The following is a 27,225-nucleotide window of genomic DNA, read 5'->3' as shown; positions in this document are numbered from 1 at the left end:
TTTCCTGGAGGGGAGCAGAGACTACGTTTATGTTGTCATTCTTCCTGTAAGTCTGGTTTTTATTTTTTCAAACTTTTTTTTTAAACTTAGCAGATGTTAAAAAGTTGCTTAAATTTGCATTTCTTGATTACATGTTAGTTGGAACATTTTCCCAGACATTTGTTTCCTATTTGTATTTTCTCTTGTGTAAATTTTGTTTGTTTGAGACATGATCACTTAGTTATTGGAATCCTAAGGGTAATTTCTAAAAATATAGGTATGTGTTCTGAGGTTATTAAGGAATTGTTCTTTTCTGTCGTTTTTGATGCACATATTTTCTTATTTGGTTATATTTCTTTTTTATTTTATGTACATTTTATAATGGCTTCTCTAATATGTGATCACTCTCTAGAATTATTTTCTTTCCTAATCCATTTACCTAGTATTGCCTGTCTTTTCCTTCTAGAATATAGGCTTCTTGGCAGCATGGACCCTGGATATCCTGTTCACCAGTAATTCTCTAATACCTAGAATAGTACCTGCTACAGAGTAGTTGCTTAATAAATATTTATTATATAAAATGTATATTTGATTACTCAAACTCTCCAAAGTGATCATCTCTTCTTAATGGTATAAATGTTTAATCTGTGTCTTCTGGATTTATTTGACTAATTAAAACACTTAAGATTCTTGGAATTTACTGAAACATATCTATGTTATTTTCTCTTGTTACTATTATCTTAACCCCATATATCATATGGTATTTCCTACTTCCATTTTTTATAGCAGTATCTTTTAAATCACATGTTAAATTATCCTGTTCCCTGGATTGAGTTTCTTAATTTTGAAATATTACCATATGGGTTCCATTATTACTGCTTTAAAAAGTTTTAAAACAGATCTCATAAGTCTAATTTCTCTTCATAGCTATTTTAAGAATATTCATTAATAATGCTACACATATACTTTCAAGCTAATTTTAGAATTGTTTGGGGGGTCTTTACTGATGGCTCCTCATAATCACCATCATCTTTTCTAGATGTTCAGAAAACAACTAATTGTTAATTTGGTATAGATGAACATCAAACTTATCTATTTGTCATTTCTAATATCCAACTTACCTTCCCCACTTCTAATATTCTCAGTAATATTTTCCTATCTCTATACTTTTGAAGCCTCTTTCATTTTTCATAATTCCTTGAATGTTAGCAATCATGCTGAGATTATACCTGTGAGTTTCTTTAGTATGCCAGAATGCAATTCTCTTTGTATTATTGATTAAAACTTATTAAACGAATGAGGTACTCTTTAAACTCTGTCCTCACTGAAATCTGGAGTTGCAGTTTTTACCCCATTTGTATTCTGCCTTTCTACTTTAAAAACTTAAACCATAGTTAAACCAGTAAACAAACTCATCGTCTTTTATATAATCTATGTAGCCATTTATTCACTGTCTGCAGTCATTCAATCAGAGAAGTACTTGTTTTCCAGGTTCCATACTAGGCTCTGGGCTTATGGTGATGAGCACAGTGGGCACTGTCTTTGTCCTGTGTAGCTTAAACTTTGAAGTCTTCTTTTCTTTCTTCAGTCTCAAAAATAACTGGAAGAAGGGATAAAGAGGGATAAAGGCGTTGCTCATCTTTTGATTTCTAACCAAAACCATGGAATTTTGAGAGACACATTTCAGTTTTTTCCCCCAACTTTGTCATTTTTCCACAGTTAATCATCAAAAGTGAGTAGCAATTTGTGGGCTTGCTGAGTCTTGTCAGACTCTTTGCCACATCCTGGATGTATGTTTCAAGACCACAAACCCACCCAGTTGCCCGGCCAGGTCTGAGCCCATTAGACTTTACAAACTACCTTGATGAGTTTCTTCCTTTTTGAGGAACTAGCATCATTCCTTCCTAAAGTATGATCTTTTAAATTATTAGCAGTCAGCATAAAATGGTCCTATGTCATCAGAAGGTTTGACATTTCTTTGCCAGAAGGCACTCTGCTGTGCTTTCTCTACCCATCTTTCCTCCAGCGTTACCTTCTCGTCTTCTAATTCTTACCATTCGTTTCTCTATTCCTTACCAGTGGAACCTGCTTGATTGCTTTCTGATTGCATTCTTTCTACCATCTCATTTTAAAATTTATCATCCTTTCTTATAGGGTAATTTGGGAGAGCGTTTTTCAGTTCTTTCATTCATTTTCTTTTCTAACAGGTTGTATACGCAGCAAAAGCAGTTAAGTCTTCAACAGAACCTTTGAAAGTTGCTAAAATAATTTTTTTATATTCATAATTTTAATGATCAGATTAACTCACAACTTCAAATGCCCATCCCACCTCTTCTTTTCCCCAAGAAACTTTGTAAAGCTTGCAAATAGAATTGGAAAGAATCAAGTTGTTTGTCATGCAAATTATAAAATTGAGAGATACAAATATGGACCAGACTTCTGTAATACGTAGGCCCTGATATTAGGAATCTTAAGGAGATACTTAACTACCTAAAAGCAGATAATGATATACTAGATAAGGAGGGATAGGATAAAGGAAGTGCAGAATGCAATGCAAATATATAGGAGAATCAACAAATCTGGATTAGGTATATTGGAAAAGACTTCCAGGGAGGAAATGACTTCACATCTGAGATCTGAGAGGGAAAACATCATGAGCCAGTCAAAAAGGAGATAGAGATGGGTCTAACTGATGATCCTGGCAGAGGGAACAAGATAATACAGATATTTTATATCATCAAGGTATGTTAACTTTAGCCTTCTATTTTATCATAAATTAATTGAATCAGAGAGCCATCGAAAATCCAGTCTTTATCCATCTCCACTGGAATTATATTGCCCTATAGATTAAAATGCTCTAATAGCAAAGGCCCTCTTCTCCCTAGACGGTGTTTGGCTGGGCACTGACAATGTTGGCCCTGGTGACTTCCTTTTTTTGCTTGTTTTCATAATTGAATGACTTATGTACCAACTTATGTATCTCTTTCTTTACCCCCAATCCCAAGACTGACATAATCTAAAAACTACAATTATACATTCAGATAGGTTCCTGCAACCTTCTTTTGGCCTAGAAACCATCCTGTCTCCATCAAGTTTCTCTATATACATGTGTTCTGACCTGTAGTTTCTATTTTGCATTCTGAGTCATAGAAGGCAATTTATTTTTCTGTTTCTAGGAGTCACCTAATTGCGACTCTCCAACTTACAGTATTGCTAACTTATTGTTTGCTTTCTTTTCTGTAGACAGAAAAGAGCACAAATTTAATTTGGAATCAAATTGATCTTCTGCCCAAAAGGCTGCTAACAATGGATGTTGCCAATCATTGGAAATGTTAAAGCATCATTTGGGGATTATCTATCAGAAATGGTATATATGTGATTCGAGCAGTACAAGGGAAGTTGACTCTGTTGTGCAAAGATCCTTCACACCCTAGACTCCTTCTTTTTTTTTAATTTTTTTTTTTTTTTTTTTTTTGGAGATGGAGTCTTGCTCTGTCACCCAGGCTGGAGTGCAGTGGCATGATCTCGGCTCACTGCAACCTCTGCCTCCCAGGTTCAAGCAATTCTCCTGCCCCAGCCTTTTGAGTAGTTGGGATTATGGGCATCCACCACCACACCAGCCTAATTTTTTTTTTTTTTTAGACAGACTCTTGCTCTCTTGCCCAGGCTGGAGTGCAGTGGCATGATCTCAGCTCACTGCAACCTCTGCCTCCTGGGTTCAAGCAATGCATTGTCCTGCTTCAGCCTCCCAAGTAGCTGGGATTACAGGCACTTGCCACCACACCTGGCTAAGTTTTGTAGTTTTAGTAGAGAGGGGGTTTCACCATGTTGGCCAGACTAGTCTCGAACTCTTGACCTCAGGTGATCCGCCTGCCTCGGCCTCCCAAAGTGCTGGGATTACAGGTATGAGCCACCGTGCCCAGCCCCTAGGCTTCTTCTTAAAACTAGCAGAGATAGAGATAGTCATCAGAAGATAAATGTGAGGGATAGAAGACTACAAATAGGGTGCAGTGTATACTGCTCAGGTGATGGGTGCACCAAAATCTCACAAATCACCACTAAAGGACTTGCTTATGTAACCAAACACCATCTGTTCTGCAATAATCTATGGAAGTTAAAAAAAAAAAAAGACCCTCACAAAACCTAAAAAAAAAGAAAGAAATATTCTTAAAAAAAAAAAAAAGAATATACAGGTAGCTAATGTCAGAACCAAGGATTAATTTTACAGAGAGGCTCTGTTTTTTTTCTTAATAAAAACTTATATTGTGAATAGTGCTGAAATAAAAATACATGTGCCTATGTCTTTATAGTAGAATGATTTATAATCTCTTGGGTATATACCCAGTAATGGGATTGCTGGGTCATATGGTATTTCTGGTTCTAGATCCTTGAGGAATTGCCACACTGTCTTCCACGATGGTTGAACTAATTTACTCTCCCACCAACACTGTAAAAGCATTCCTATTTCTCCACATCCTCTCCAGCATCTGTTGTTTCCTGATTTTTAATGATCACCATTCTAACTGGCATGAGATGGTATCTCATTGTGGTTTTGACTTGCATTTCTCTAATGACCAGTGATGATAAGCTTTTTTTCATATGTTTGTTGGCCACATGATGTCTTATTTTGAGAAGTGTCTGTTCATATCCTTTGCCCACTTTTTGATGGGGTTGTTTTTTTCTTGTAAATTCATTTAAGTTCCTTGTAGACTCTGGATATTAGACTTTTGTCAGATGGATAGATTGCAAAATTTTTTTTCCCATTCTGTAGGTTGCCTGTTCACTCTGATGGTAGTTTATTTTGCTGTGCAGAAGCTCTTTAGTTTAATTAAATTCCACAACCCAAACGCCCATCGATGATAGACTGGATAAAGAAAATGTGGCACATATACACCATGGAATACTATGCAGCCTCAAAAAATGATGAGTTCATGTCTTTTGCAGGGAAATGGATGAAGCTGGAAACCATCAATCTCAGCAAAGTAACACAGGAACAGAAAACCAAATACTGCATGTTCTCACTCATAAGTGGGAGTTGAACAATGAGGACACATGGACACAGGGAGGGGAACATCACACACTGGGGCCTGTAAGGGGGTGGGAGGCTAGGGGAGGGATTGCATTAGCAGAGATACCTAATGTAAATGACGGGTTGATAGGTGCAGGAAACCACCATGGCACATGTATACGTATGTAACAAACCTGCACGTTCTGCACATGTATCCCAGAACTTAAGGTATAATAATAAAAGAAAAAGAAAAACAATTCTAAATATATACATTGATATAGTGTGTATAAAGAGAAAAATGAAAAAACAAACAAAAAGAAGATAAATGTAAAGTTTATAAAGCCCAAATGACATACCATCTTGTAAATAAAGGTGCAAATGTCAAGAGTAAAAGCTCTTGAGGGCTATTGTTCTCATTGCATGGGGAGTGGGGGGGAGCTATCTTGATGAGACTCTTGGCTGAATAATACTCCCGAAAACTTACATCATTCTGCACTTTTAAAGTCTTAGATGACCTTTCTGGCCTGTAGAAATTAGTGGAGAAAATTTTAGTGATACCCAGATCTGTTGACATTTTACATATTGAACTTTCTTGGAGAAATCAGGGGACAATGTGCCATTTTATAAAGTTTCAGGTCTACTTCTTTTCTCTTACTGTTACAGCTTCTCATCATATACTTTTTTTTCCTCTTTGCTTTTTTCTAACTTTTTCTATAAATGGAAATGCTTTAGGAAATGTCATTCTTGTGAGTTTTGGTCAATGTTTCAGGGTTTGTCATTTTTATTAGTCATCAGATGGCTCAGTGTCATTTATGTCAATACATGAGAGTAACTGACCGAGAAAGTTCATTGACTGATAATGTTGATCATTCATACACACACATTTAGACCTCTCTGCAGTAATGTTTTTAGAAGAAAGCTCTCCTTAACTCTCATTTTCAGTCCCTGAGAAGTAACTTGCTCTGGCAGAGTTACATGACCTTTGACCTCCCTGCATGAGGGAAATGAAGAGTGACTTGTATGTGGGTAAACATGTAATAATCCTTTGGTTATGAACTCATCTAGAGTTGACTGGCCAGTGTTTGTGCAATAGTTACACAAGGCCTCAAACACTGTGGGTGTATTGAGAGGTATCTGGGAGATGTAATGTACTTTAAATTACCAAGAAGTAATTTGATCTGAATAAGGCAACTCCAAGGAGAGCTCATTATGTTTTACCAAAATGCAATTGCAAACTGTAATTGGATTTCTTTTTAAGATGAACAGCAAACCCAGGAAAGTGGTGCATTTATCATTTTTGTCAATCCCTTTCTAGAACTGGAACACTAGGGATGATGGCATACAGTGTCATCCCCTTAGGAACAGAGAATATACCATAACTCAGATAAGGCAGGCAGGTATTGCTACCACTCTTCTGTACACAGCAGCCATTAATGGGTTTTTGAGCAAATAAGGCATTATTCAGTGGACACTTTTAGAAGGCTAATCTGGGATCAGTGTTTAGAGAAGATTAGGGGTCAGAAAAAAAATAGAGGAAGATAGACTATGAGATTGTTGTACTAGTCCAAACTTATAATGTTGGGGGTTTGGACCCAGGTCAGGAAGATGTGGGTATGAGTAATAATTCAATGCAAGTGCACCCACAGACCTTAATAACTAGTTGCATATTGGAGATGGTGTGCAATGGAAATAATCCTGGTCTAAGCATCAGGAAGAAGGGAATTTTCAAGGTAAGGTGGAGGCTTAGTTTTCTATTTTGTAAAATGAAAGAATTGAACTAGAATGATCTCTAATTCCTTTCCAGGACTAACATTTTAAGATACAAAGATTGTAAGTCATTACAAGTTTGCCCTCCATTCCCTGTAGGGAGGCCTCACATCAGGAAACAACAAAAGGTTCAGCTCCTATTTGATGTCTCCCTGACTTCTCACTGACACCCAAGCACCCCACATAGATGCCTGGCTAACTGAGGTCCTCAGTTTTACAACCATATTACCCTTTCTGATCTTTCTCTAGAGCCAAAAATTGTCTGTCTTAGATGTACTTATGTTGGTGGATTGTGTCTCATAAACTAACTTGTAGTAGGGGATAAAATAGCCTATAATGGTTACAGCATTTTTTTTCTAGGAGATAATAATATTTTATCTTTGTATAGTCAGTCCAATTTTTAGAAATATTCACATTTCATTTAGATTTTTCAGGAACACTGTAAGGCATATAGACATTGGTGGTATCCTTATGCATTTTTCACAGATGAAGAAACTGAGACTTGGAACAATTAAGTAGTTTGTACAAGATCACACAGCCAGTAAGTGGCAAAGACAGCATGGGATACAAGCTTTCTGACTCCAAGTCCAACGCACTTTCCGCTATATTAGCATAATTGTGAACATTTTAAGTCCCTGGGCAAGAATATAGAGGAAGTACTTTCAGGCCAGGGGCATTTGAAACCATGCAAAGATCACCGTTTGGCCTGTTTTTCTACTTCCAAGCACAGTCCCTGCAACCATCTCAATACTCTGCCTAGTAACCCAGAGCAATAATGGTCATAATTACACTTTCTCTCTGCCCATCCCAAAGAACATTTAGTATATTAATGTTGTTAATTAATCTTCATGACATCCTAGCAAATGAAGCAGATTGCAAGTCGGAAGTCCCACTTGGCTGACTGGGAAGCTGAGGTAGAAGGCAAGGTTACAGAACTGCCTCAAGGTGAGAATAAATCAGCTGGGTTGCTGAGCCAAGAATAGCCTTTTCACAGTGAAAGCTTAAAACTCTATTGGGGAGGGGCTCTCACTATTCTCCTTAGAAGATTACTGTTCAGTCACTAGAAAAAAAAAATTGCCACTTTAAAGCCAAGATTTTCTTTTCTTTATTATTTCTTAATGCTTTTGAATTTGCTGTATCTCTTTCTTTGGGGTTCCCACATTTTTGCAATTGAGGTAGTTCAATCTTTCTCTCTTCTGGGAAAACATGCCTGATTTTTCTGCAGATGACAATCTTCTGTACCCCCTTAGTGTCACCTCCCCATTATCTTCTCTGAGAATGGGTTACACCAATTTTTAACGGGCTCTCAGGAATTTGTCTCATTGGTCTTTCCTTCCCTTACTCAGGGATGTAGAATGGAGCCTTGGCTTTACAGCATACATTTCTACATTGGAAAAGCATTTGTTTCCAATGTTGTATTTTAATGTTTTACTGCATCAGAGAAAAGATGGAGTGACTTCATCTCTCTGTGTTAAAAATGATGACTATGTCCACAACCACGTGGTCAGTCCACATTCTGTGTGGTTTCTGTGGTTACTGCAGCATTTGGGGATCAAGCTGGTGTACCAATGACTGATTACCCTGTGGCAAAGCTGAAGAGGAGAGTGTTGTTTCTCTGTGGCAGGGAGTCCGGTTACACTGGAGGAAAGGGGATGGGATTCCTGTAGGCTGACAGGAAGACTGTAGTTATCTGTGGGAAAAGGAATGATTATGTTGCTCTGTTGTTGGGAAATGTGGTTGCCTTTAACCTTGAGCCTGACCAAAGAATCCTGTAATGATTTACTTTGACACTGTATTTACACCCCCTACAATAATTAACCATCTTTCAAACATCACGAGGAAGTGGGTTATCAAAATAATATTACTCTGACGGTAAAAGTATCTTAAAAGCCCAAGCCACGGAGTTCAGCAAAGACAAAAAGGCCAAACAAAGCCCACACCAAAACATTACCAAAATATTTACTGGGCCTCTTTTCAAAATCATTTTCTGTGACCTTTTTCAAAAAGCTTCATGTGATACAGACAGGTAGTAGAGGCATGGGAAAGAGCCCAAGTTGTTTTTCTGCTCATCTGCTTGCTCAATATTTATCTTCTGTGATTTGGGACAGACCAAATGGTACAAAGAAAGATGAAAATGCTGATAGAGTTCTAGCAGCTTCAAGGGTGGGGAAGGTAAATAGATACTATACATGATGCTGCCGCCTTTCCTGAGTTCACCACACACATCAAGAATGGATCACATCCCTCTTCCCTGCTGAGCCTGTCCTCAGTTTCACAGTCTTTCTCATCAAGGCACTAAACATAGCAACGACCAAGTTATAGGACTTGGTTCTCCAGTTGAAAACCTTTCATAATGTCTCTGTTTTAGAGATGTTTTAGTCCATTCTCATGCTGCTTTAAAGATACTACCTGAGACTGGCTAATTTAGAAAGAGGTTTAATTGACTCACAGTTCTGCATGGCTGGGGAGACCTCAGGAAACTTACAATGATGGCAGAAGGTGAAAGGGAAGCAAGGGACGTCTTATATGGCAGCAGGAGAGAAAGACAGAACGAAGGGGAAGGGCGACACATGTACAAAACAACCAGATCTCTTGAGAATTATATCACTAGAACAGCAAGGGAGAAGTCACAATTTGAGATGAGATTTGGGTGGGGACACAGAGCCAAACCATATCATAGAGCAAGCTGATTAGCTCTGCTTTTCTCCAGAATAAAACCAAAGGTACAGAGAAACATAGTGTGGGTGGTGAGTATGTTGGGTTGGTGTTAATGTAGTTAAGATATTTTCCAAGAGATCTGGGTGAATCCAAATTCTGGGACTGTGATAGAATTATCTCCAAATTTAGGACACTTAAAAATACTGCATCATTAACAAAACAAATGCCATTAAAAACATTAATGTTTTACCTTTTGAATTAAAAGTTTGATAATACAAAGTCTGGAGAGGGTTTGTGGACATGTATCTCATATATCTTGGGAAAGAATTAAGGGATATCATACTTTTGGAGAGCAATTTAGGAATATTTAAAAAATTAAATTCATAAACCATTAGTTCAAGTAATTCTACTTCTACAAATGTGTTTCCACAAGTATTTAAGGATATCCTTAAAGTTCTAAGGATGTCTATTGCAGCATTGATTGCAAAAATAAATAATACGATTGATATGTCTCTTAATAAAATACTATGCAGACATTCAGAAGAATGGGGCATAGGTACAAATGTAGTAGGAGACATCGTTTCTTGTTTTTGTTTGTTTATTTGTTTGTTTGTTTTGAGACAGGGTCTTGCCCTCTTGCCCAGGCTGGAATGAAGTGGCACAATCAATCACAGCTCACTGCAGCCTCAACTTCCCACACTGAAGTGCTCCTCCTGCCTCAGCCTCCTGAGTAGCTGGGACCACAAATGCATGCTATTACACCTGCCTAATTTTTTATTTTTAGTAGAGATGAGGGCTTACTGTGTTTCCCAGGCTGGACTCAAACTCCCGGGCCCAAGCGAACCTCCTGCCTCAGCCCCACAAAATGCTAGGATTACAGGCATGAGCCACTCCACCTGGCTGATATTGTTTCTTTACAATTATTTAATTACTTCCCATCCTTGCCATGCTTCCCTGCCCCCATTGACTTCATTCTTGGCCATATAAAATGCCTTGACCATGGGATAAGAATGGGTGTGATATTTGCCACATTCTAAAATTTGACTGCCACCCGGCACAGTGGCTCATGCCTGTAACTCCAGCACTTTGGGAGGCTGAGGTAGGAAGATTTCTTGAGACCAGGACTTTGAGACCAGCCTGGGCAACATGGAAAAAGCTTGTCTCTACAAAAAAATACAAAAATTAGCTGGGCATGGTTGCACATGCCTGTGGTCCCAGCTACTCGGGAGGCTGAGGTGGGAGGATCATTTGAGCCTAGGAGGCAGAGGTTGCAGTCAGTCAAGATTGTGCCCTTGCACTCCAGCCTAAACAATAGGGTGAGACCCTGTCTCAAAAAAATAAAATAAAATAAAATAAAATAAAATAAAATAAAATAAAATAAAATAAAATAAAATAAAATAAAATAAAATAAATAAAAAAAATAAAATAAAATAAAATAAAATAAAATAAAATATTGCCTACCTTGGCTGAGGCCCTTTGTTCCAGCCCTCTATCACATGGGCATAATGTCACACAGTGGCTACTTTGTCAGCTTAGATTCCAAAATGAGAAAAATGAGTTGGGCAGAACTTACCAGGGCAGAGCCATATGAGCCCAGCTAAACCAAACCCACAGAACAACAGATGCACTGCAACTCTCATGTGACATAAGCAATAAATAAATACTTATTGTGAGGCACTGAGATTTTAAGGTTGTTTATTGCATAACATTACTGTAGGAAAACCTGACTGATAGGTCTAATTTACAGAAAATGTCAGGAGGATGTTAACTGAAAAATGCAAATTCCATGACAACATTATCAATATGGTTGGCATTAAAAAAACTGTTTATCCATCCATCCATCTTTGCTTGTATTTGTATAGAAAATATCTGAAAAGATATATAGAAAACTGAATAGGCCAGGCGTGGTGGCTCATGCCTGTAATCCCAGCACTTTGGGAGGCCAAGGCGGGCAGATCCCAAGGTCAGGAGATCGAGACCATCCTGGCTAACATGATGAAACCCTGTCTCTACTAAAAATACAAAAAATTAGCCAGGCATGGTGGCAGGTGCCTGTAGTCCCAGCTACTTGGGAGGCTGAGGCAGGAGAATGGCGTGAACCTGGGAGGCAGAGGTTGCAGTGAGCCGAGATTGTGCCACTGCACTCCAGCCTAGGTGACAGAGCAAGACTCTGTCTCAAAAAAAAAAAAAAAAAATTATAGAAAGATATATAGTAAACTGTCAACAAATGGAATTTTGGGGAGTGGTTGGGTGCAGGAGGGATAGAGAGTAGACAGACTTGGTATTTAATTAATTTTCTTTACTGTTTAAATTTTTCATAACAATGTGTTACTTTTAAGAATAAAATACTAAGAAAAGTCTCATTTTAGTGTTTGCTAGCTTGAATATTTGTTCTAATTTTGATGATTGATTTTTATTTTATTATTATACCTGTAAAGTACTGTGAGTCCTAGTAGAAACAAAAATCTATAAGCAATGCCAAGGCTCTGATAAACAAAACACAGAAGAGTTCTTTATTCATTCTGTAGAGACATAACCCAAGACTTAACTCCAGAGACTGTTCCCAAATGCTGAGGAAGTAGGAGGAGAATGAGGCGAGGTGGTAATGATGAGTTGCTGCCTCAGTTTACCTTCCTGAGTCAACAGAACAAAGACAAAAACTGAGAAATTTGAATGCTGGGTGGCAAATAGTCTCTCTCTCTCAAGGCCAATATTGACTTTTCCTCCAGGAAAAACCAGGAATCATATTCATGGAGTGTTGAAATTATTGACTGATTGATTGAAATGGCATCTTGCTCTGTTGCCCAAGCTACAGTGGAGTGGCACAATCGTAGCTCATTGCAGCCCTGATCTCCTTGGCTCAGGACAACTTCCTCCCTCAGCTTTCCAAGTAGCTGGGACTATAGGTGCAAGCCACCATACCAGGCTAATTTTTTTTAGTTTTTGTAGAGATGGGGTCTTGCTATGTTGTCCAGGCTGGTCTCAAACTCCTGGGCTCAAGTGACCCTCCTATCTTGGCCCCCCAGAGTGCTGGGATTACAGGTGTAAGCTGCTGTGCCCAGCCAACATATTTACAATTTAAAAAGTAATCAAAAAGTCTGATCCTATGCAAAATGGTATTGGGGCTCAGAAATCGATACCCCAAAATGTCGTGCTTTGACCTGCTGAAATGAAGTCTCTAGGTATTTTGGGCCTCCACCCCCGCCACCCTGCCCCTCAGTCTTCTGTCTCTCCCAAAACAAAGGATAAAATTGTTATCTGAAGTTCCTAGATAAAAGTCCAGAACCCTCAAAGAAGAAATTTTGAACAATTACTTTTGGTCTCTTGGCGTTTCCATTAAATGAACTCACTTCACAGGAAGAAAGACTGTCTATCAACATACCTGAACAAATTTTTTTGCCACAGCCATTATCTGCTCTGTGGGTCGAACAACTTTGTTCCAGGACATTGTATGTTCTTTAAGCCATTGAATTCCCTTAAAAATCATTTACTATCCCCCTAAAATTATCCACACTTCCCATGTTTCTCGCCCCCTAGAATAAAAGTATATAACCCCATTCTTTGGTGGGGCAGTCACTCTGTGATTCTCCCCCATGTACGCTAATAAATTTGTATTCTATTTCTTCTACGAATCTGCCTTTGATTAGTTGATTTTCAGTGTACCTTCAGATGGTGAAGGCGGGGAGTTTTCCATTAGCCCCCACACTGGTTTCTGTTGTACCCCAAGCCAAGAAAACCAGTGTTTCCTTTGTCCTATTAACTTGTGATTCCTATGATGGCAAAACAATGATCTCTTTTTCCCTTGAGTCTGTTGTCCCTACTCTTCCCTCTCCAGGGAATATCTCTTCCCTGACCCTGCCTTTCGCCTCATTAATTTCTGGTTAACCCAGGTCTCAGATGTCACCTCATCCAGACACCTGTTCCCCAAGGCCAGATAGCTGCCCTTCTGTATTGCTCCAGAGTGATTGTGTCTATCACAAATGTATGGAACTATCATGCTCCACTGTTAATGCCCATTTATTTGCTTTTCTTGCCCACTAGACTGTAAATGCTTTAAGGTCTGGCACTGTGGCTTATTTATGTTCACATCCTTAGTACTTCATCCTGTGTAAATAGGTGCTCAATAAATATTTGTTGAATCAATGAATAAAGTGTGCTGATTTGATAAGTATCTGTGCTTAGATTTTAATGTCCCTTCTTTTAGAAATTTTTGCCTTTAAAAGCAAAGTGAATAAATTTTAGAAGATTTTTTGATTAACAGGCTGGTGGGGGACCTATTTTTGCCAGGGAAGTTTCCTGATGTATAGGGTGACTGAGTGTCTTGATTTATCTGGGACTCAGGGGTTACTTGGGATGTGGGACTTTCAATGCTTACATGAGGACCGTTCTGAGCAAATTGGGATGGTTGGTCACTCTACTTTGAGGTCAGTCACAAAAAACCACTAGTCCTTGTTGTACACAAATCAAGACAAATGGTATCATCCTCTTCTCACTGAAAACAATACCACAGTTAACATGGTATTGTCAATATTTCCATTTCTTCCACCTCTCAGGGAACCATCACATCTTCATTTATAACTCATGTAGTTTCTCAATGAAAAAATTAAAGGTATTGATTAAAATCTTCTATCCTTTTCTGCTGTGTCCATGAAAGATTGTCAATCAACATGAGGAACTTATTAAGTGCATACTGTGCAATACTTAAAGGGCAGGGACTATGGCTGTTTTTATAGTGATAGGAATAGTACGGAAGGAATACTGCTTTCTAATCAGAGACTTTCATGCCAATAGTGGTGATGAGAGAGAGAAAGGTTTCAAGACTGTTTAGCATACTGAGTTACAAGTGATTCGTTCTGTCTAGCAGTCAAGGACCTCTATGTAAACATAACTCAAAGAGTCCTCCAAGGAATGTATATGCTAAAACCATACAACAAGCTCTTGTCTTTGTCAAGTCTGCAGGTTTCTACCAGAAGTCAAACTGCTTCCTTCCAAAGGGGAAAGGGTTGGATAAGACCAGCTGGCGGGTACGTATGCGAAATGCAGGGATTTCCAAATCCCAGTGCTGTCAGGAAATCAGCTCTCTGGCCAGCAGCTGCACTCCAGCTGTGACAGAGCAGAAAGGGCTCTCCCAGAAGACAGCTTAGCACTAACCAGATCCCTGCCCCGACAGCTCAGCCTCCGACACCAAAGTCTTCTCTGGAAGCATAGATGACACCAAAAGACAAGAGCGTTCTCCAGACTGTGGCTTGGTGAATGCATTGACCTCTCCAGTCTTTCTCTTTTCTCTGTGCTTTTCAGAAGAGCCAGAAAGAGAACATCAGTGCAAACAAAGGAATGCCTTGACCATTCATCCAGTCAGCAAATATTTACTGAGCACCTACTCTCAGCCATGTGTTCTCCATAGGAGTGGGAACAGAGCAGGCAGCTGAATCTGTGACTTTCCTCACTTCTGTCCACTGGAAGAGGCTTTTAGAGCATCCTTGAGAGGGCCACCAAGGTGCTGTACTTCCAGGTAGAAGCATATTCTACAAAAGGGAAATGTTTAAAACTTTTTTAAAAATGAAACATGTTAAAAAGATAATTATTTGGATTCCCTTAATAAGGTGTTAAGAAAAGTAGTGTGAATTCAAGGCAGTGGAACAGAGAGGGAAGGAGGCAAGGAGTGGCGTCAAGGATTGGCTGTGAGCCCATCCATTCATCCTTTCCCTACCCTCAAATTAGGTTTGCTCTCGGTGTTACAACCTGGGTAAGCCTCTTATTCCAGGGGTTACTATGATGCCTGCCTTTATTTGCTTCTCCAATGGCTCTGGGTAGGGATGATTTTCTAGGATGGGAGCAGTAACCATGAATGATGATATGGCAAAGCAACATCTATCCCCGCAGAAGGAGTAATTCCTGTCCTAGCTACTATTATTGAGCTACAGTAATAGAGTAATGCAAAGCACTTCAGAACTTAATGGAAAAAGATGACCATTTTATTTTTCTTTTGGATTCTGTGGATCAGGAATTAAGGCAGGACAAAGCAGGAGTGGCTGGTCATTGCTCCATGATGTCTGGCCCCTTACTTGGGAAGACCTGAAGACTTGGAGTGACATGAAAGATGAAGGCTGAAATTATCTGGAGGTTTATTCACTTACATCTTTGGAGGTGATTGCTATGGTCAGAATGTTTGTATCCCCTCAAAATTCATATGTTGAAATCTTAACCCCCAAAGTGATGGTATGAGGACATGAGGCCTTTGGGAGGCTTCACCCTCATGATTGGGATTGGTGCCCTTATAAAAGAGACCTCAGAGAGCTAGCTAGTTAGCTCTTTACCATGTGAGGATACAGCTAGAAGGCACTGTCTATGAGGAATGGGCACCAGACAACAAATCTTCCAGCACTTTGATCTTGGACTTCACAGCCTCCAGAACTGTGAGAAACAGCAAAAATAACTTAATTAGATTTATTTCCTCTTGCAGGGTATTTAATGATGCTGGTATTTAATTTATTTACCATGTACATACATGTGTTTAAAAATATTTTCCCTGGAAAAATTGTAGTGTCAATGGTAGCATCCTCAAAAAATCAGAAGCTGTTATTATTATCATGATTAGAGACAAGGTCTCACTCTTTTGCCTAGACTGGTGTGCAATGACATGATCATAGCTCATTGCAACCTCAAATTCCTGGGCTCGGGTGATCTTCGTGCCTCAGCCTCCTGAGAAGATAGGACTACAGGCATGCACCACCATGCCTGGATAATTAATTATTATTATTTTTAGAGGCAGCATCTCATTATGTTGCCCAGGCTAGTCTCAAACTCCTGGCCTCAAACAATCCTGTCACCCCAGCCTCCCAAAATGCTGGAATTACAGGCATGAGTCACTGTACCCAGCACTAGAAGCAATTATTTTGTAAATAAGGAAAAGATGAATCTAGAATTTGATAGTCATGTAAGGATTGGATTGAAAATAGGAAACAGGGATGTTCAGATTAAACATCTTAGGAAGGAACGGTGGGACTTTTCATGGAGTAGCAGTGGAATTGGTTTTTGCCTTGCAGTTATGTTAGTTAAGGGAAAGTATAAGGTAAAGATATTTGTGTAAGGTATAGAGTATCAAATAGTACTTTTAAGATAATGGTCTCTGAGTTAGTAGTTGTAATCTAGGGATGGAAACCAGTCGTTCCTAAAAACATATTCCCTTAAAAATGAAGCTTCATGTGTTGCTAAAGGCAAAGAGGTCAACAAAGGTAATATAAATAGAAAAAAAACTTGATACTCTCCTTGGATAAAGCTAGTATCCATGTGAGAACAAAGTGTGATTCAACCCATAAAGTATTTGGCACATAGTAAGGCCTCAATAAATGCCAGTTATCATTATTATTTGAAATGGGGATAATAATAAGACCTATAGTGCTTGGTTATTGTGATGATTAAATGCACCTAAAGCTCTTGGCAGAAAGCACAGCACAAAAAAGTATATTCCAGTTGTTCTAATGGCTTATTAAGGAAATATGGTATCAGTTCATTATAAGGAAGATCTCTGACAATGAGTTGTTAGAGTTTAAATGGAGCCTTACATAACCACTGAAGAGCAGATAAGCATTTTACAGAAAGATGTGAAAAGAATTCTCACTCTGGAAGAAAAATTGGTGTTTTAATATGTTCAGCCTGCTATGACAAAGTACCATAAACTGGGTATTTTATAAACAAAAAAATTATTTCTCATAGTTCTGGAGGATGGGAAGTCCAAGATCAAGGTGCTAGCTGATTTGGTGTTTGGTGAGGGTAGCTTTCCAGTTCACAGATGGCACCTTCTAGCTGTGTCCTCATATGGTAGAAGATGCTAGCCAGTTCTCTGAGGTCTCTTTGATAAGGGCACTAACCCCACTCATTCATTGTGGTGGAGATTCCTAAAGGCCTCACTTCCTAATGCCATCACCTTGGGGTTTAGGATTTCAACATATAAACTCTGAGGGGACACAAACATTTAGACCATAGCAATTAAAACGGACTCTGAAAAATGGCCTCCAACTCTGCCCGGACATGTGCGTGTGTCTAACAGCAAGAGCTAGGAACATTTCCCAGAAACTTCAGATAGGTCAAGGTAAGATACAGTTAAGGCAAAAATATGACCCTGTTAAAGAAAAGTTATACCAAACTTTGAGAATATACATATGAATTTGCTTGCTCTGTGATCCTGAACCCACTAGAGCACTGTGAGCCCATTCCTAATCTGCCTGCAAACCACGCCTGAGCTTTTATACATAGAGAATGCTCAATCTCAAGGAAACCTCACTACCCTCTCCTTAACCATGCAAATGATACCTTTCTGGATTCAGCCTTATTTGCCTAAAACTCCGTTTTTACCCAATTTTCTTGCCCTTCTGGTTTTAATTCAGAGTAATTGGCTGCACTGACTTTTGAGTGAATTGGCTCTCTCTTGCTTGGCAAGCAATAAACTCAGCTTTGATTATGTGTTTTATCAGCTTGGGCAATCTTTGTGTTTTGATTTGACAATGCAGGTGGTAGTAAACCTAAGAATTTTTTACTTCATTTTAGGCAATCCTCCTAAAATAGATATAATATGACTATATGGTAATAATACCAGCTAGGAGGCTGTAAGCCTTCTACAGGTTTGGCCAATTCTCTACCAACTACAGCCTGTGCTGCATTCGTAGTAGATGCTCACCAATCATTTATAATCACTTGTTGAATAAATGAACAAATGCATGGCATTGAATGGGTAAATGAGTGAGTTTTTCCTCTCACAGGTCTTGGGTCTATGCCACAACCACCATGAGGGACTACAGGAAAAAAACTTCAGAATTATATTTGCAGACAATGTTTACTAAATCCTTTCCCCCAAAAAGCATAAGTAAGTTTGAAACCAAATCCCTGAAACCTTCATCAACTTAGTCCTTTCAGCAACCTTAGGCACCAACTTTTCCCTATAGTGTTCAATGAATCAAAGACCCATTTAGGATTAGACATGGAAGTACCAACAGAAAATGTTTTCCAGCAATGCAAAACCACTTTTAGAAAAGGAGCATAAGAGAAGTCTGAGAACACACAATTTTAAAATTATTACTTTATAAATATTTTTGTGACATCTGGGATGGGTTAAGGATGCGACAGTCTCTTTTCTCCCTGTGGAAGAGAAGCAAAATTTTAAATAGCTCCTCCTTTCCAGCTTGCCAGAGTTCTGACTTCAGCGGATGCCTCTAATTGCTCAGAAGCAGAACCTGCCCTCCTTAAGCATCCTGGCAAACGATTTAGGCATTTTACTCTTTCTCTGCAGCTTTTCCTGTCCTCCTGACGACCCTCCCAACAATAAACATCTGCCAAACTTCAGACTCCAGGCACCCTTTTTTGGAAAGATTCTACAGCGAATGAGCAAAAGATGTTCCAATGTCATTGGGCCATTCTTAATTTTTCTTAAACTAATGTTAACTGTACTCTGATTACATAGATAATTAGCATCAAATATGCAAATGCCTGTTTCATTTGGGGAGAGTTCGTGGTCAAGATGTCAGGGATTATAAAAGCTCCAAGGAGGAAAAGAACTCAAATGATTCAGAGGCAGAGCCTTCATGCAACAATATTCCTGGATCTTACTTCTTGTAAGAGGCTCTCCAAAGCCCATGTGGTCCCATTTCTCTGCTGCCAATACTGTCGCTACTGCCACACATCTGAACTCCCCTCCAAAGTCAAAATGAGTTTAAAAGAAGCCATGAATAATTTCTAATTTGTAAAATACAACACTCACTTTCTGTTGGAGGTCCACAAAGTGACCCAGTACCCAAGAGCCAGGCTAAAATGCTTACCAGCTAGTGACTCTATGTGGCCAATTTCCACTCCTTCCCCCAAGCCAAGGTTCCCATCAGGGAGGCCATCTGATTACCACGCTGTTGCTCTGCAATTCATCCTTTCAAAGTTCCACCTTTTAGCATTGCCTGCAAATGAATGACGGAAGTTTGTAGAAATAATGGTTACAGGCAAATGTGGAGTTTTCAGACTGAATATGTCAGAATTTAAGATTTAGCAATTTTTCAACAAATATTTTCTGAGGGGACTGGGGAGCTTTCAAAGGTAATCTTTATAGACCAGCATTTTCTTCTTAATGAGTTTCAGCCCAAGGTTGCTGTCTCAGACCCTTTTGTTCCCTCCTCTCTTTCCGATTCTTTGTAAAATGATTGATTGAAAATGTATTCTTTGAGCTAAAAATCATCGATACATAATATGGTTTGGCTCTGTGTTCCTACCCAAATCTCATCTCGAATTGTAATTCTCACATCAGGAGAGAGGCCTGGTGTTAGGTGACTGAATCATGGGGGTGGACTTCCCCCTTGCTGTTCTGCTGATAGTCAGTGAGTTCTCAGGAAATCTGGTTGTTTGAAAGTGTGTGGCACTTCCCTCCTCGCTCTCTCTATCCTGCTACCATGTAAGACGTGCCTTGCTTTCCCTTTGACTTCTGCCATGATTATAAGTTTCCCTGGAGGCCTCCCCAGCCATGCAGAACTGTAAGTCAATTCATCCTCTTTTCTTTATAAATTACCCAGTCTCAGGTAGTTCTTTATAGCAGTGTAAAAATGGACTAATACAATACACTTTTCTTTCCTGTTTAATGTTTTTTTTTTTTCTCTTATCAAGCAGAATTTCAGATATGTCATATTGGCTTTGGTTGTGGCTACATTATGCCCAGCTCTATCCAAAGATGTGGTTTTAAAGAAGGGACACATGGCAAGAAATGTAAATTGGTGTATTCTGCTCCTCAGCCATCAAATATCCTTTGTTAAACATTCTCATTTTCCATTAAATGAGCTATTGTTGCTACAAGTCAGTGGTTCCACTACAGAATTTGTAGCACAGTAAACAAAGTGTAAAATGTATGTAATGAGGATTGCTTCTAATTTCCTTTAATTGCACATTGAGTTACAGCCAGCGCGACCCTGACAGCAACATTACTTCCTCAATACATAGCCTTGATGTACAGCACATTTTTCTTCCGTGACAGGTTTATTTCTTCATTGAAGAATTGTTTAAGAGATATTTCATTGTATGTTGCAACGATGTAATTGGGCTCTGGCTGGTTTATTCACTTAATAGGTATGGTAATAATTATATATCACTTTTTAGTGTATGGGCCCCTCAATCCTCTCCAGGTTGATTGCTTTATCTAGGAAGCATCTAATGGAGTTGCTCCAAAATAACATTTCGGGAAGATGAACTGCAGATTTATTTCTCTCCCTAAACTCAGGGCTTTGGTGTGTTCAGAGAAAAATGGCAGCTTTATATCAAATAAAGCTAAAAAATAAAGGTAGTGGAATCTGTGCATAGGATTACTTTTACTTAATATTTAAGGTATATTTTTCCTGAAAAATTTTGTGAGAATGGCAGGAAAAATCTCTAGAGGTATTACCCACTGAACACAAAAGAGATGATGTACATTGGGATTAAGTTTCAAGAAAAACATTCACGGTGGTGGGTGATTTCATCTACAACATATCCCTTAATCCAAAATTGTTTTTTATTTTATGCTTTGCACCTCCAACCTTAGTCCTTGCCTAATCCGTTTTGGATGTTGTTCTTATTCTTGTATTTTATGGGTCTCCATTTGTTTTCTTTATGTGGAGCCCAAGCTATATTCATCATAAGATTCAGAAATATCAGCATAAACATTGAGGATGGGGAGATCCAAGGGTAGGAAAGATGCAGAAGTTTAGAAGGGATGGATATTTACGGGCAGAGCACAATGAATGAACTCCCAGCAGTGGTATGATCTGAAGGGTCATTGGCTTGGGTGCTAACAGGATGGCATGGCTTGGACAAGCAGCAGGATTGGCATAGCTACAGTAACATTGGTGGTGACAGGAACATGGTTGTCTCAGTGACCTTGTTGCTCTGTATCCTCAGTGATGGTGGAATCAGTGGCAAGGCCTTCATTGGTCCAAGCAGTTGTTATTGTGCCTTCAGTGAGTACCAGAAGCATGACTGACATTTCTTGGTGTCAGAAGTGACTGAAGGTATCACCTTACTAAGCCAGAGGAAATGAAGAGGAAGAAAGCCAAATCCTCATAGTTTCCAATTAAGCTACTGTCCCAAGAAAGACACACAGTTTTGGATTATCAAAACTATAAGGCCAAGCTTTGGGTATGGGGTGGGAGATTATTTTTCGAGGAGAACCGAGAGGAGTAAAGGCAGAGAGTAATAGTATATCTCTTATAAATTGTTGTTAGAGTCAATGCAGTAGTACACACAAAGCACATAAAAATGCCTGGCACATATTACAAATTAGCTAATTTTATTATTATAACAGTATTATTGTTACATTTCCCTCTTGTTAAGCACTTATTAAGTCCAAGTGCTGGACTAAGGTGTTTACGTGCATAATATAGACAAAAAATTTTTGTTTCAAGTTAAGTTCATACACTGTTATGGCTAGAAATTTTTCCCTCCATAATGTATATATTATAGCCCTAACCCTCCATGTGACTGTATTTGGAATTCAGTGGGGTCATAAGGGTAGGGCTCTAATCTGAGAGGACAGGTGTCCTTATGAGATGAGGAAGGGACACCAGAGCTCTCTCTGTCTCTCTGTGCACATAGAGAGAAGCCACATGAGGACACAAACAGAAGGCGCCATCTCCAAACCAAGGAGAAAGGCCTCATCAGAAACCAATCCTGACAGCATTTTGATCTGGAATTTTGAGCCTCTATAACTGTGAGAAGATAAAATTCTGTTTTCTAAGCCACCTTGGAAAAGTCTGTGGTATTCTGTTACGGCAGCCTGAGCAGGCTAGTACACACAGTAAAAACAAATATAAGAACTAACTCCTCCCCTAGTCTTCCTTTATTTTCCGTAAGTCGGTCAATTATTTTCTCTGACTTTACCTCGTGCTCTCCCACCCTACTGATGGGGAAAATATTTGTTCTTAACAATTAAAGTGTTCTCAGCTTTCTGGCTTAAAATGGAGGGCTGTATGGATTGTTAATTCCCCTCTCTTCCCCAGACAGGCCCTGGGAGCAGAGGAATATCTGCTTCTTGAGGTGTTGGGGCCTGAGGTCCCTCTGGCCTTCTCCTCGGAAAGGGCTCATGCTGTAGCCCTTGCTAATGTGTCTACAGCAGGGTCACTTGTTTGCACATCTCATTTAAGGCCTGGTGATTTCTCTATGGTGGACTTGAGTCTCACCTTTGCTATCCCTGGAGCTGCTGATTCTTTGGGGCTGGCTGTATCTCCTGTTCCATTTCTAGGCTCCTGGAAACTTCAAATTCCCCACAGATCACAGGGAATGGGATAAAGGCTGAGTGGAGGGCAGGGGGTGGGAGAATGCTCTCTCAAGTCCTTCCATCTGGCACGTTCCTCATTCATTTCTATTCCAGCATCTACACCATGTTGGCCTTGCTGCCATGGAGATTCAAGTCATCTCTGAAAGGCATGAGCTCTGGGGAGGCAAGGAATAAGCACCTAGTTTTGATATTCCCTGACCCTAACTATCAGTGTCTAGATCCAGCCCCCACCAACCCCCAACATTAACTGGAAGGGGATGGGAAAATAAGTTCACTTTTCTGCATCTCAATTTTGCTTCTCCCCATCTTAGGCTCCATCTGCTGATCTTCCATTCTAGCCCTAGGGACAAAAACTGCCCTTCAGTCCAATTCTCACTCTTCCACACATCAAGACTCATGCTAAATAAAACCCCTTGCCTCTTAATTTGTAAAGCTCAGCTTTTCGAGTTCAAATAATATACCTCATCAAAATCCTGGATTCTGAAAATCAAAGTTCACAGAATTATAGAGAGGACTGATGGACAGCAAGAGGTCTGAGATCAGGACAACAAAGCTAAAGGCAAGGACCTTTAGACCAGAGGCATTAGCTAGGAGTCGCAGCAAACCATCACAAAGGTCAAGTGGGACCTGCTTGATTTGAATGGATGCCAACTCAAGATGTCCAGGGCTTGGTGAGAGTAACTTCACCAGAAGAGATGAAAAAGGACAAAGGCTGGTGGCCAAAGGCCAAGCAGAATGAGTTCTCTCAACTGAAGACCAGCAAGGGTTAGAGGCTAGGACATTATATGACATTCCTCTCCTCTCTACCGACTTACCATCAGGTAGATGGTGAGGCGCAGTAGGGGAAGCCTTAGAAATGATTAATTCTTACCCAAAAATGTCTAAGATTGGAACGGGATAAAGACTGATAGAATGATACTTTAAGTGGCTTTATAAAAATCACTGAATACAAATTGAGTATACTGCAATGTGATAAAATATATTTTAAGCTATGGGCAGACTAGGAGTTTACACATGAAATTGAATTTACTTATTAAAAATTAAGTTACCTTTTTTTGCAAATCTGAGTTTTATACTCACCCACTATACAAGTTTAATATTTTAATCAACCCTGTGAGGAAAGTAGGCTCAGAGAGATGAAATAATTTGCCTAAGGTCACAGCTAGTAATTGGTAGAGCCAAGATTTGAGACTTTAATTTATTTGATATCAAGGTTTGTGTTTCTAACCACTATGCCTAAGCCTCACAGTTCTATGGTTATTATTTTTACCCTCTGTATTGTTTTTAATTGCTAGGAGTGTGTGACTTGAAACATAAGAGTTATAACCACATCCTGTTGTAAATGTTCATTATTTGCCTTTGTCTTTTGTTCTTGTTTTTCCTACTCTGATTCTCATGTTTCTCTGACTTTGTTCCTTTTATTTTCATAGTCCTCCATTTTGCCTTTCACTTACCACCCTGCTGAGCCCCCAGAGTTGATAATTAGTTTTCTGGAGCCACCTTTGCCTACACCTAGCTGTGTGGCCCTCAGGACATAAACTATATTACATGGAACCACCTGATCAGGCATTTCCCCACACTTCAGGAGGCAGAACATGAAGACAGTCCTGTCTTTGGATTAGAAGCCTACAAATTAAGAGTTCATTGTGTTTGAGAGGTCCAGGAGAATTGGATTTAAGATGAATGGAATAATCATCTTCCAGAGAAGTAAATTTACTTGGCGGGTTTCCACTAAAATGGATTTTTTAAAATGTCAGATGGAACTAAAACATTTAAGACATATGGTGCATTAACTAAATGTTTAAACATTTGCCTTTAGCTGCGTGAACATATCATTGATGAGATGAGCTCAGTGAGCTATGTTGAACATATCTGACTGAATCACTGTCCAGTAGAGAGCTCTACTTCTTGAATCTCTATAATATAAACCATCCCCAGATGCTTACAACAGATACCAAATATGTGTTATAATTTTACTGCTGAATGCAAATGCGCATAAAAATGAAAGGTCTAAATGAGAAAATGTATCTGTAATCTCAGTCATTACCTTTTATTTGAAATAGATTCTACAAGAGAAGGGTGCAAAAAGAATATTTTCAGGCCTGATGCCTGAAAGTCACTGGGATGCCACCACCCCATTCTACTTTCTTCCAGAAAATCCCTTCACATTATAATGCATGGTCAGCAAACATGCAGCAAGTGTGGGAGTTCTCCCCCTCACCCCGCGTCCATAGCAGACATTGTTAATCAATCACAATGCTTATTTTTACTGCTGAGCCTGCACTTGGCCTGAGAATTTTTCTCCACCCAGCACTTCAGGCAACACTGCCAATTGATCCAAGTTGGCACTTAAAAAGAAACCTATTTGCAATCCCCAGACACAGAGCAATGGTAGAGCAGTGGGGTGTTCCTATATCTGATATGTCTAAGAAATGTGATAATTATGAGGACCAGACCATTGGATACTGTTGGGATTTATTCCTTGAATTAAAAGGATGGTTTTGGGGATCCTTGGGTTCTGGCAGAACCCACTAGGATTTAGATTAGCTTCTGTCTAGTTGTATAAAGGGCCAGTCTTCTGTCTTCCAGGAAGGTAGACTGATCCCACATATACTTACATGGCTTTCTGTTTTATCTTCTGAGTTTCACAAGCTCCATGAAAATGCTGAAAATCCTAGAACCACTAGAAATAGAATAAGGCAGGAACTACCAGAGACCATGATATGAAGATAATCACTTGCATTTTGGATACTACGGAGAACTTCCTGGGGTAAAGATCTGTGTGTGTAGTGGTGGGGGATGGGGGGTAATTCACGTTTAAGTCTGACCTTATATGCATTCATATTTTCTAAGTAGGTTGTAAATACTACTACTGTGTATGTGCCTGGCAAGAAGTTAAGCAACAAAGCACAGGCACTTTTATTCACTCTTCAGATCTTCCCCATGAAGTACAACACCCCCAGTATATAGATGATGAAACTGAGGCTGGCGATGCTAGGGAACTTATCTAAGATCCCACAGACAGTTCACATCTGTGTCGGAAGGAGTGGTGATAGAAACAGATGGCAAATTCTTAAAAGATAATTGAAACAGTTTAATGATAGGATTATTTATGGAGACAAGGGTAGGATTAAGGGAACCAACAAGACATAGTTCCAAAGTCTCCAAAGATGAGCAACAATTAGAATCCTTTAGCATCCCTAGAAACAGTGTTACTGAAACAGCAACAACTAACTGTGTGAGAGAAATCCCTCGATGGGAGCTATAGCTTTAAGGAAAGGAAGTCCTTTCCTGCCCAAATCAACCTTGTCTTGGGTAGTTGTGAGGAAGTGAGGAGAGAGGAGAGCTTGTGTCTCACAGCGATCTAGGAAGAGGAAGCAGCCAAGGGGTGCAGTTCATAGAGTTCAGCACAAAGCAGAGAATGCATCTAGGGGGTCATGAGAATAATGAGCTCAATGGAGGAACGGCAATTAAACACAGTAATGCTCTGGGCCTATTCTCATAACCGCTACTTTATATTCTACCTCTTGGCTGGGGTTTAGGAAGTCTAGGTCTAGAAGTACTAGCCAGCGCTTGCTTTTATTTGAGAGGAGAGAGCAAGAGAACTTAAACTTCCCGAGTGCACAGTGGTAGTACACACAGTCCTTGACACATAACAAGTGCTCAATGCCAGCTATTTGTTATTACCATTTCTTCTTATTCTTTTTCCCAATTCTCCCTTTCTGTGCCTTAGGTCCATGACCAAAGTGATGGTACTCAGTGCAAAGGAAGTTGATATGCAATTTCCAATGCTTTACTGACAGAACTTATTTATAATGATATATGAGGTCAGTGAGTATTTATTTCTAATTTCCAGAAGAGGAAATTGAACCTTACTGATTTGAAAGCCAGTGTCCTTCTAATACTTGAAGTTTCCTCTAGTGAATCAATGGTAATGACTCTTAAAGTACAAAAATAAATAAATAAATAAATAAAGTCGTTAAAAAGATGATGGCTTTTAAAAAATTGTTATACTTATTTCAGATTTATCAAGGCACAGATTACCCAAGATATGAACCATAGAAAGTCTTGGGATTATTACTCACTGCATATGCTCCTCTCCCGGCCCCTTCTCTCTTTTTTTCTCTCTCTCTCCTCTCTGTCTCTCCCTCTGTCCCCTCTCTCTCCCCCTTTGCCTCTTCCTCTCCTTGTTCCCATCTTCTCTCTCTCTCTCAGCTCTCTTTTCCTCCCTCTCACCAGTGTTTTCTTCTTTATTCCTCCTCACTCCTCTGATCACCACCTTTCACTTTTCTTCTTTCCACTTGCCTTCACCTCTTTCCCATCCCTTTCCCCATATTTTCTTTTTTCTCCTCTTTCTTCTGCTTCTACTTTCTCTACAGTGTGAAGAGATATAGTTTAGGGGTTATAATTGCAGGCTTTAAATGTAAACTGCCTGGATTCAAGTCTCTGTTCCGTCATTACTGGGGATGTGACTTTGTGTAAATTATTTAATCTCTTTGAGTCTCAGTCTCCTACATATGTAAAATAGGATAATAAA

General features: G+C 39.4%; 1 long non-coding RNA gene across 6 annotated transcripts in view; it reads left to right on the top strand.

The window, feature by feature from the left end:
- The window catches only part of LOC105375721 (uncharacterized), a 121,243-nt gene that overhangs the window by 53,913 nt on the left and 40,105 nt on the right, over window positions 1-27,225 (top strand). Inside the window, exon 4 of one of the 6 annotated variants that reach the window (XR_007061070.1) lies at window positions 4,924-5,380. The exons of the other annotated variants lie outside the window; for them this stretch is intronic. This is a non-coding gene — a long non-coding RNA (uncharacterized LOC105375721). Of the gene's footprint in view, window positions 1-4,923; window positions 5,381-27,225 lie in introns of those variants that run through there. 6 annotated transcript variants of the gene reach the window in all.

Source organism: Homo sapiens, chromosome 8, assembly GCF_000001405.40.
Source record: "Homo sapiens chromosome 8, GRCh38.p14 Primary Assembly".
Classification (NCBI taxonomy): domain Eukaryota; kingdom Metazoa; phylum Chordata; class Mammalia; order Primates; family Hominidae; genus Homo; species Homo sapiens.
The sequence above is the reverse complement of the archived record's forward strand: the minus strand, read 5'-3'. Positions and strand labels throughout refer to the sequence as shown.